Raw genomic sequence first — 11,388 nt, forward strand, 5'->3', positions numbered from 1 at the left:
GGCAGTACCCCCTTAGACTTGAGGCCAAACAGGGACTCAAAAAAATTGTTAAGGACCTAAAAGCCCAAGGCCTAGTAACACCATGCAGTAGCCCCTGCAATACTCCAACTTTAGCAGTACAGAAACCCAACGGACAGTGGAGGTTAGTGCAAGATCTCAGGATTATCAATGAGGCTGTTGTCCCTCTATACCCAGCTGTACCTAACCCTTACATTCTGCTTTCCCAAATACCAGAGGAAGCAGAGTGGTTTACAGTCCTGGACCTTAAGGATGCCTTTTTCTGCATCCCTGTACATCCTGACTCTCAATTCTTGTTTGCCTTTGAAGATCCTTCAAACCCAATGTCTCAACTCACCTGGACTGTTTTACCCCAAGGGTTCAGGGATAGCCTCCATCTATTTGGCCAGGCATTAGCCCAAGACTTGAGCCAGTTCTCATACCTGGACACTCTTGTCCTTCAGTATATGGATGATTTACTTTTAGTGACCCATTCAGAAACCTTGTGATGTCAAGCCACACAAGCGCTCTTAACTTTCCTCTTTACCTCTGGCTACAAGGTTTTCAAACCAAAGGCTCAGCTCTGCTCACAGCAGGTTAAATATTTAGGGCTAAAATTATCCAAAGGCACCAGGGCCCTCAGTGAGGAACGTATCCAGCCTATACTGGCTTATCTTCATCCCAAAACCCTAAAGCAACTAAGAGGGTTCCTTGGCATAACAGGCTTCTGCTGAATATGGATTCCCAGGTTTGGTGAAATAGCCAGGCCATTAAATACACTAATTAAGGAAACTCAGAAAGCCAATACCCATTTAGTAAGATGGACATCTGAAGCACAATCAGCTTTCCAGGCACTAAAGAAAGCCCTAACCCAAGCCCCAGTGTTAAGCTTGCCAACAGGGCAAGACTTTTCTTTATATGTCACAGAAAAAATAGGAATAGCTCTAGGAGTCCTTACACAGGTCTGAGGGACAAGCTTGCAACCCGTGGCATATCTGAGTAAGGAAATTGATGTAGTGGCAAAGGGTTGGCCTCATTCTTTACGGGTAGTGGAGGCAGTAGCAGTCTTAGTATCTGAAGCAGTTAAAATGATACAGGGAAGGGATCCTACTGTGTGGACATCTCATGATGTGAACGGCATACTCACTGCTAAAGGAGACTTGTGGCTGTCAGACAACCGTTTACTTAAATATCAGGCTCTATTACTTGAAGGGCCAGTGCTGCAACTGCGCACTTGTGCAACTCTTAACCCAGCCACATTTCTTCCAGACAATGAAGAAAAGATAGAACATAACTGTCAACAAGTAATTGCTCAAACCTATGCTGCTCTAGGGGACCTTCTAGAGGTTCCCTTGACTGATCCTGATCTCAACTTGTATACTGATGGAAGTTCCTTTGTAGAAAAAGGACTTCGAAAAGCAGGGTATGCAGTGGTCAGTGATAATGGAATACTTGAAAGTAATCCCCTCACTCTAGGAACTAGTGCTCAGCTGGCAGAACTAATAGCCTTCACTCAGGCAATAGAATTAGGAGAAGGAAAAAGGGTAAATATATATACAGACTCTAAGTATGCTTACCTAGTCCTCCATGCCCATGTGGCAATATGGAGAGAAAGGGAATTCCTAACTTCCGAGGAAACACCTATCAAACATCAGGAAGCCATTAGGAAATTAGTATTGGCTGTACAGAAACCTAAAGAGGTGGCAGTCTTACACTGCCTGGGTCATCAGAAAGGAAAGGGAAATAAAAGAGAACCACCAAGCAGATATTAAAGCAAAAAGAGCCACAAGGCAGGATGCTCCATTAGAAATGCTTACAGAAGGACCCCTAGTATGGGGTAATCCCCTCTGGGAAACAAAACCCCAATATTCAGCAGAAGAAATAGAATGGGGAACCTCACGAGGACATAGTTTCCTCCCCTCAGGATGGCTAGCCACCGAAGAGGGAAAAATACTTTTGCCTGCAGCTAACCAATGGAAATTACTTAAAACCCTTCACCAAACCTTTCACTTAGGCATTGATAGCACCCATCAGATGGCCAAATTATTATTTACTGGATCAGGCCTTTTCAAAACTATCAAGCAGATAGTCAGGGCCTGTGAATTGTGCCAATGAAGTAATCCCCTACATTACAGGCCATACATTTTAATCCCTGTATCTTTAACCTCCTTGTTAAGTTTGTCTCTTCCAGAATCAAAGCTGTAAAACTACCAATCGTTCTTCAAATGGAGCCCCAGATGCAGTCCATGACTAAGATCTGCCGTGGACACCTGGACTGGCCTGCTAGCCCTTGCTCTGATATTAATGACATTGAAGGCACCCCTCCCAAGGACATCTCAACTGCACAACCCCTACTACACCCCAGTTCAGCAGGAAGCAGTTAGAGCGGTCATCAGCCAACCTCCCCAACAGCACTTGGGTTTTCCTGTTGAGAGGGGGTACTGAGAGACAGGACTAGCTGGATTTCCTAGGCTGACTAAGAATCCCTAAGCCTAGCTGGGAAGGTGACTGCATCCACCTTTAAACACGGGGCTTGCAACTTAGCTCACACCCGACCAATCAGGTAGTAAAGAGAGCTCACTAAAATGCTAATTAGGCAAAAACAGGAGGTAGAGAAATAGCCAATCATCTATCGCCTGAGAGCACAGCGGGAGGGACAATGATCGGGATATAAACCCAGGCATTCGAGCTGTCAACAGCTACCCTCTTTGGGTCCCCTCTCTTTGTATGGGAGCTCTGTTTTCACTCTATTAAATCTTGCAACTGCAAAACACACACACACACACACACACAAACACACACTGAAGTACAAAGATGAATGACACCATGATGAAACTGCATCAACTAGTGTGCAAAATAAGCAACTAGCATCATGATGACAGGATCAAATTCACACATAACAATATCAACCTTAAATGTAAATGGGTTAAATGTCCCAATTAAAAGACACAGACTGGCAAATTGGATAGAGTCAAGACCCATCAGTGTGCTGTATTCAAGAGACCTATCTCAAATACAAAGACACACATAGGCTCAAAATAAAGGGATGCAGGAAAATTTATCAAGCAAATGGAAAGCAGAAAAAAGCAGGGGTTGCAATTCTAGTTTCTGACAAAACAGACTTTAAACCAACAAATATTTAAAAAGACAAAGAAGGACATTACATAATGGTAAAGGAATCAATTCAACAAGAAGAGCTCACTATCCTAAATATATATGCACCCAATACAGGAGCACCCAGATTCATAAAACAAGTTTTTAGAGACCTACAAAGAGACTTAGACTCCCACACAATAATAAGGGGAGACTTTAGACTTTAACACCCCACTGTCAATATTAGTTCATTGAGACAGAAAATTAACAAGGATATTCAGGACTTGAACTCAGCTCTGGATCAAGTGGACCTGATAGATATCTACAGAACTCTCTACCCCAAAACAACAGAATGTACATTCTTCTTAGTGCCACATGGGGAGGGAGAGCATCAGGATAAATAGCTAATGCATGCAGAGCTTAACACCTAGGTGATGGGTTGATAGGTGCAGCAAACCACCATGGCACACATTTACCTATGTAACAAACCTGTATGTTCTGCACATGCATCCCAGAACTTAAAATAAAATAAAATTAAAAAATTTTAAAAAAGAAGGGGACAGAGGAAAAAAATGATCAATGTAATGAACCATATTAACAGAATGAATAACAAAAAACACATGATCATCTCAATTGATGTAGAACATGTATTTGACATAATTTAACACCCGTTAATGATAAACACACTCTACAGACTTGGAATAGAGAAAAAGTGCCTCCAAATAATAAAAGCTACATATGAAAATCCACAGTGAACACCATACTTATAGTGAAAGACTAAAAGCTATTCCTTTAAGGTTAGAAACAAAGCATAGATGTCTACTTTCTCCACTTCTATTCATCATAATACTGGAAGTTCTACTCAGAGCAATCATTCAAGAAAAATAAATAAAAGGCATCCAAGTTGGAAAAGAAGAAGTAAAATTATCTTTGCAGATGATATGATTTTATATGTAGAAAACCCTAAAGATTCCACATACAAAAAGTTGAACTAATCAATTAATTCAACAAAGTAGCAAGACACCTTTGTGTCTTTTGCATGTTGACTTTTCAACATGCAAAAATCAGTTGCATTTTTATACACTGACAACAAACAATCTGAAAAGGAAATTATGAAAAGAATTATATTTACAATAGCATCAAAAAGAATAAAATACTTGAGAATCAACTTCACCAACATGGTAAAAGATTTGTACAATGAAAACTACAAAATATTGATGAAAGAAATTTTTAAAGGCATAAGTAAATGGAAACATATCCCTTTTTCATGAATTGAAAGATTTAATATTGTTAAGATAGCAACACTATCCAAAGCAATCTATAGACTCAATGCAATCTCTATCAAAATCCCATTTTTTTGTAGAAATAGAAAAACACATCCTAAAATTCATATGAAATTTCAAGGGATCCCAAACTGACAAAACAATCTTGAAAAAGAAGAACAAAGCTGGAGGACTCACATTTCCTGATTTGAAAACTTAATACAAAGCTACAATAATCAAAGCAGTGTAGTATTGGTATAAAGACAGAAATATGGACCAATGGAATTGAATAGGAAGCCCAGAAACAAACCTGCACATTTATGTTCAAATAATTATTTTACAAAGGTGCCAAGATCCCTCAATGGGGAAAAGATAGTCTTTTCAACAAATGGTGCTGGGAAAACTGGACAGTCATATGCAAAGAATGAAGCTGGAGCCTTACCTAGCACCATATGCAAAAATTAACCCAAAATGGATAAAAACCTAAATGTAAGCCCTAAAACTATTAAAATCTTAGAAGAAAACATAGAGCAAAAGCTTCATGACATTGAATTCGGCAGTGATATCTTGGATATGACATTAAAGACATGTGCAACCAAAGAAAAAATACAGAAAAATTGAACTTCATAATAATTTTAAATTTTTATGCATAAAAATCTATACAAGACAGTAAAAAAGGCAACCCACAGGATGGGAGAAATTGTTTGCAAATCATATATCTGATAAAGGATTAATATCCAGGATATAAAAGAATTCCTGAAACTCAACAACAATTTAAAAAACACAAACAAACCACCTCAAAAGCAGGCAAAAAAAAAAGGCCAGGTGCAGTGGCTCATGCCTGTAATCCCAGCACTTTGGGAGGCTGAGGTGGGTGGATCACTTGAGGCCAGGAGTTCGAGACCAGCCTGGCCAGCATGGTGAAAACCATCTCTACTAAAAATACAAAAACTATCCGGGTGTGGTGGCACATGCCTGTAATCCCAGCTACTCAGGAGGTTGAGGTGGGAGAATCCCTTGAACCTGGGAGGGGGAGGTTGCAGTGAGCTGAGATTGCGCCAGTGTACTCCAGCCTGGGTGACAGAGCAAGACCCTGTCTCCACAAAAAAAAAAAAAAAAAAAAAAAAAAAAAAATGCAAAAAACTTAAATAGACATTTCATTGAAGAAGATGTACAAATAGCCAACAAGTACATTAAAAAAATGCTTAGCATCTCTAATCCTTAGAAAATACAAATCAAAACAACTATAAGATACCACCTCACACCTATTAGGAGGGCTACTATCAAACAAACAGAAAATAACAAGTGTTGGTGAAGATGTGGAGAAATTGAAACCATGTGCATTGTCGGTGGGAATATAAAATGGTGCAGTCCTTGTAGGAAACAGTATGGCAGTTCCTCAAAAAATTAAGAATAGATTACCATATGATCCAACAATTTCTCTTCTGAGTGCTGAAAGAATTGAAAGCAGAGTCTCAAAGAGATATTTGCACACCCGTGTTCATAACAGCCTTGTTCACAATAGCTAAAATTTGGAAGCAACTCAAGTGTTCACTGATGAATGGATGAATGAATAATCAAAATGTAGTATATACATACAATGGAATATCACACAGACTTACAAAGGAAGGAAATTCTGACATACGCTACAACACAAATGAATCTTGAGGACACTATGCTAACCAAATTAAGTCAATCATAAAAAGAAAAATACTGTGCGATTCCACCAATAGGATGTATTAATACTTAGAGCTATCAATGTCATAGACACAAAAGTAGAATGGGGGTTGTCAGGAGCTGGGGGTAGGAGAAGATGTGGGAATTTAATGGGTACGGAGTTTCTGTTTTACAACGTGAAAAAGTGATGGAGATGAATGGTGGTAATGGAGATGAATGGTGGTAATGGTTGCATAACATTATGAATATATTTAATGCCACTGAACTATACACTTAAAAATGGTAAGATGGTAAATTTTATGCATGTGTATTTTAGCACAATTTTTAAGTGAGGGGAAAATGAAATCTGATATATGCTACAACATGGATGAACCTTGAAGACGTGATGCTAGGTGAAATAAGCCAGACACAAAAGACAAATGTTGTATAATTCCTCTTTTATAAGGTTCCTGGAAATAGTCAAATTCATAGAAATAGAAAATAGAACAGTGGTCACCCAGGGCTGAGAGGAGCCAGGAATAGGGAGTTAGCATTCAATGGCTACAGAGTTTAACGGGGGCTAATGACAAAGTTCTGGACATGGATGGTGGGGATAGTTGCACAACAATGCAAAGGTACTTAATGCCACTGAATGGTACAAGGAAACATCAGTAAAATGGTACATTTTATGTTATATATACTTCACCACAATAAAAAAGAAAGATTTCCAGCTCAGATTTGGAGTCGGTGCAGAGGAAGACATGTTAGTGAAAGAGTACATTCTCAGGAAGAGCTCAATTCTAAAGAAACAGCCTGTTTCACTAAACCCTTAATTGTGTGGCTCCTCAAAAGCTCAGAAGAAGCTGATGTCAAAATTAAAGCACCTGTTCCACCAAAGTGCTGCGGCATTGCAAGGAAAGCACCCGTTATCTTCATCTCTGTGCCTGAACACATCTTCTCATGTTTGTTGTCACACTTTGATGAATGCCCCCAGCCAGCCAGCTACCCTACGTGGCTGTGTAAACTCCTCCTCTTGCCCTCAACCCCAGGGGTGACCTGGTGCGTTAGTGACTCCTGGCTGAGGTAAACGATACGGCACGGTGGTAATGGCAACTGTCAGATCCTTCCCTTTTATCTCCCTCCATCCACTGTGAAGCGTCTCTCCCCAGCTCCCTCCTACCAGGCATCAAAAACCCAGATAAAGGGGAAAGGAGTTATCTGAAGTATTGTGTGTCCCCCGTAAGAAATCCAATTATTTATTGTCACTGGAAACATTTTCTTTTAAGTGTGTTAATGAGTGACCTAAACGCATAGTTTTCCTCCTACCATTAACATAGCTCTTCGTCTATCCCACATTTTAAAATCTTAAACAGCCCTCTCCCTCCTTCAAAATGGAGACAAAAGTTAGTGGAAACACGGTATGGCCAGTTACAACACAGAGAAGACACAGGATATTGGAGCCCTGTTCTTTAGTTTCTGGTTTTTGCTTAAAAAAAAAAAAAAAGAAAGAAAAAAACCTGCTTCTAGGACTACCACTGATGTAATTTTAAAATGAGAGGTGAGCGGTGCCGTTATTCCAGAGGATACCTTTCTTAAGTTCTGCTCTGTGAAGGGCAGGGAAGTCACACAAAAGAATTCAGTTATTGCAGCCACTTCCTCAGTCCCCTGTATGAGTGACAAGATAGACCCCTGAGGTCACAGGAGTAAAGCCTGACATCCCACTTTGGTGGAGGAATCTTTAGGTAGACCTAATGATTAGCTTCGTTTTCCAAAAAGCCTTCAACCTTCCCCCACCCTTGGTGCCAATTACAGGAGAGCAGTTGGGGAACAACACACATGTCCCAGACCAATAGGGTCCCTGGGGGATCTGTGAATTGGATAGATGGAAGCGTCTTTGAATCCTTGCTCTAGAAAGTGTTTCCACTTCAGGTGTCCCCGAGCTGCTTAGGGAAAGGAGCTACTGTGCTTTTCCTTGAAGCCTTTTTGCCATTGCCGTGTGTGAGATAAATCTACCAGTGAAGTTTCTAAGGAGCTGGAGGACAAAAGGTCGGGATGAAGATCTAGCAAGAGATTCCACTTATTGGCTGTGGTCTGTGCCTTCTCTGAACTTGCATGTTCAGAAAGAATGAGAAAGAACCCGAGGCACCTGGGGCTCCAGGTCATCCCCCCATTATGGTCCCAGACCCACAGCAGATGCAACAACCCACTGAACAGCCGCTCACGTCTCCTGGGCCTCTCCTCTTCCCTTTGCCCAGTGTTTCTCAACCTTGTTTTCATTAGCACCCCTATAACCAGCCTTTCTTAGACACTTTTGTTCCTAATCACCCCCTCCATGAGATGTTAATAGCACAGGCATGCTGGATATCTGTTTATGTACTATATTGGCGCTTTACAGCAAGAGAAAGATTCCTGCCTCTTCTCAAGAACCAATTTTTGCCCCACTGGGGACAATATCGCACCCATTGAAAATGCATGCCCGAACACCTTTGGAGAGCCAGCTGGAATAGGCATGACTTGAAGACGGAGCTGTGGTGGGGCATCTTCCCGCGGCCAGTCTGGCGGAATGGGAAAAACACACTAACTCTGGGGTCAGAAAGGCTGTGTCAGCATGCCAGCTCCACCTGCCCCTAGCAGGACCAGCAGGCTAAATTTAGGAAATACCCATATTCCCTTAAGGCTCAGTATCCTCATCTATAAAATGGGAATCATTTCTATCTTCAGATTGTAGTGAGAATTCAGTAATGAAATCTGTATTACAGCAACAAGCATCCATCATATTGAGTTCTCATCTCTCTCTCTTCCCTTTAGTTTCTGTCAGAAATATAATATTCTGGTTTACAAGAGCTAGTTTGGATTCTTTAGCAAGATTTTACTTCCCTTTCCAGAGACATACTGGATTGAAAACTAATTTGCAAACGAATGTAAAATGTGTTGCTACTATAGCTGGTGTGTAAATGTTACTATCGAGAGGTAGTAAACCTAATCATACATCAAGGGGAAATAAAAAGTTACGCACATACTCAAACTTTACAGCTCGCTGAAATTTCTTTGCACTTGAGAAACTGAGTATATTAATCACCCTCTTCTCCCTACTTTCCTTCCCTAATAAAATTTCACTATTCTTTATTTAAGGTTCCATGGTAAGATTAGCAACAAAATAGAAAGCATTTTCTTTCTTTCTGAAGGTATAATAGACTCCCTCAGGTACATCACTCAAGAGAATTATGAAGTAAGTAAGCCTCTCAGATGAGATTTTAAAAGGTGACTAACTTTCTCTGGTCTGCCCACCATCTCCTTTCTATATACCCGAAAGTCAGGGTTTGTTTTTGAATTTAGCCCATTGATGGGGAAGGTGCAAGAATGAGAGTGCTTTGGAAAGTTTGTGATGGAAGCAGCAGGGCTTGGTGGCAGCCTAACTGGGGAAGAAAAAGAGTCTAAAATTCCTTCACATGATACGTTTCAAGAGACACTAATCTTCCATCAAGTACAAAATGTACTTTAATGCATACTGAAAACTAAGAAAGTCACAGTTATTTTAAATAAGTAAACAGACAAGATTAAATGACATTAAATATCAAAAGCTAATTTGAGTTTCTGGCATCAGAGCCAATGCTTCCTCCACACATGTGGGTAGTGGGTGATAGATATTCCTGACTTGGATTGTCACCAGCCTTCAGAGTTTGGGATGTCATCAGTCACCCATGGGAACAGTGAACGATGAGTCAGAGACTTCCGTGGAGAAAGTGCTCTTCTGGGAGGGAGTTCACTGCTATGTCCGCTTGCATATAATAGGGGCACAGTAAATGTTTATTGATATGTGGTTTTTCTTGCTTTAGAAAAAAGATAAACAGTCTACTAGTGTGTGTAGGCAGTGATATGTTAGGGTAACAGATAAAGTCTGAAAACTCAGTGACTTAGCGCCATGAAGGTTCATTTCCAGCACACACAAAGTCCATCGCGGTTCCAGTGACTGCAGCTGTGTCTTCCATGTCATTGAACCAGCTTGCTTATGACCACGGGCTTTACCCATTCAACGTGCAACTTCAGTCCAGAAATGAGGCTTATCCACTTCCCCTCTGCAGGGGCTGAGCCTGCAGGGGAGCCTGGGAAATATCTGCTGAGTATTCTGTCTCTATCACACATGGGTGGACTTCTGCACATCTACCTTTCAATACCAGATGATGGGTTCCTCTTGACTGTGCTTCCTATTGATTTGGGATGGATGGGAAAGGACTAACTAGAATTATTTATTAAAGGGCCAGAAAGCTATTTCCCTCCCAAATACATCAGCTTCTGAGCAAAAAAAAATTCAGCACGGTTGGCTATAGCAGTAGAACCACCAACTAGCAAAAGCACAGCTATTGTGTAGTCCACGCTATGTTAGCTACAATTTGAGTGATAAATTTTAAGCTTAAGAGGTCAATGAATATCGGTTGATATTAATGAATACTCATCAGCTGACAAAGTCAGCATCTTATTTACCCATGTCTTCTTCCTTCCTCAAAGTATTTCTGGAATAAAATGGGATTTAGTCTCCCATGACTCTGTTCCTTCTGGTAAAAGCCAGTACTCAAACCCAGGAGTTTATCCGAAACGTCCAGACATCTGGGACCACAAATAGTGAAAAATGGGACTGTCCCAATAAGCGCAGATGGCTAGTAAGCTTGTGGTACCATGGACTCATTTGCAGGTATGAGATCAGTCGTGATGGAGCCAAGTTATTTTCTTTTATGAACTTTTAATGTTTTTTGGCATACTTGAAAAGTGCAATAAAAATGAAAAAATATTCATCAATATTAGTGTATCTCTGTAGTCCTACTGTTGCATGGTAATATCATTAATTATGTATGGCTCCCACAGGGTAGTGTGTTTCAAGGGAGTGGAAATTGAATACAAAGTCTTTTATTCTTGTTTTCACTCCAACTCAAGTCATTAGTTCTCTCAGCAGATCTGCCCCCAACCCCAAGCCCCCAATCCTAATGCCCCCATCCTTGCCCACTCACAGCAACTTTCCGGCAAGCCAAAGCGCTATACCTTGAAGTGAATTCGTGGTTTTCCTCCAATTCTCAGCAAGCGAGCATTCCTATTTTGAGAACTGGCTTAGGCTAAGATAGCCACTCATTTCTCCAAGTGCCGTCAGCACAATTGTATTTTGTGTGTGGCATACACATTTACCTTCCGCCCTTGGAACAGTGTAATTGCTTGACATTTTGGCTGCCTAGACACATTTGTATCTCTGACCCCCCAGGTCCCATACCCAGAGCAGTGACAGGCTGGGACGGGTATCTGAGAGAAAACATCTTCCTCCTCCCTTGTGAGCCGCTCCTAACAGCTGCGCTCCGTTCCTGAGACCCTCCTTGCTTTTTCATCCTCCGCAGCC

This window comes from Homo sapiens, chromosome 4 (assembly GCF_000001405.40).
Source record: "Homo sapiens chromosome 4, GRCh38.p14 Primary Assembly".
NCBI lineage: Eukaryota > Metazoa > Chordata > Mammalia > Primates > Hominidae > Homo > Homo sapiens.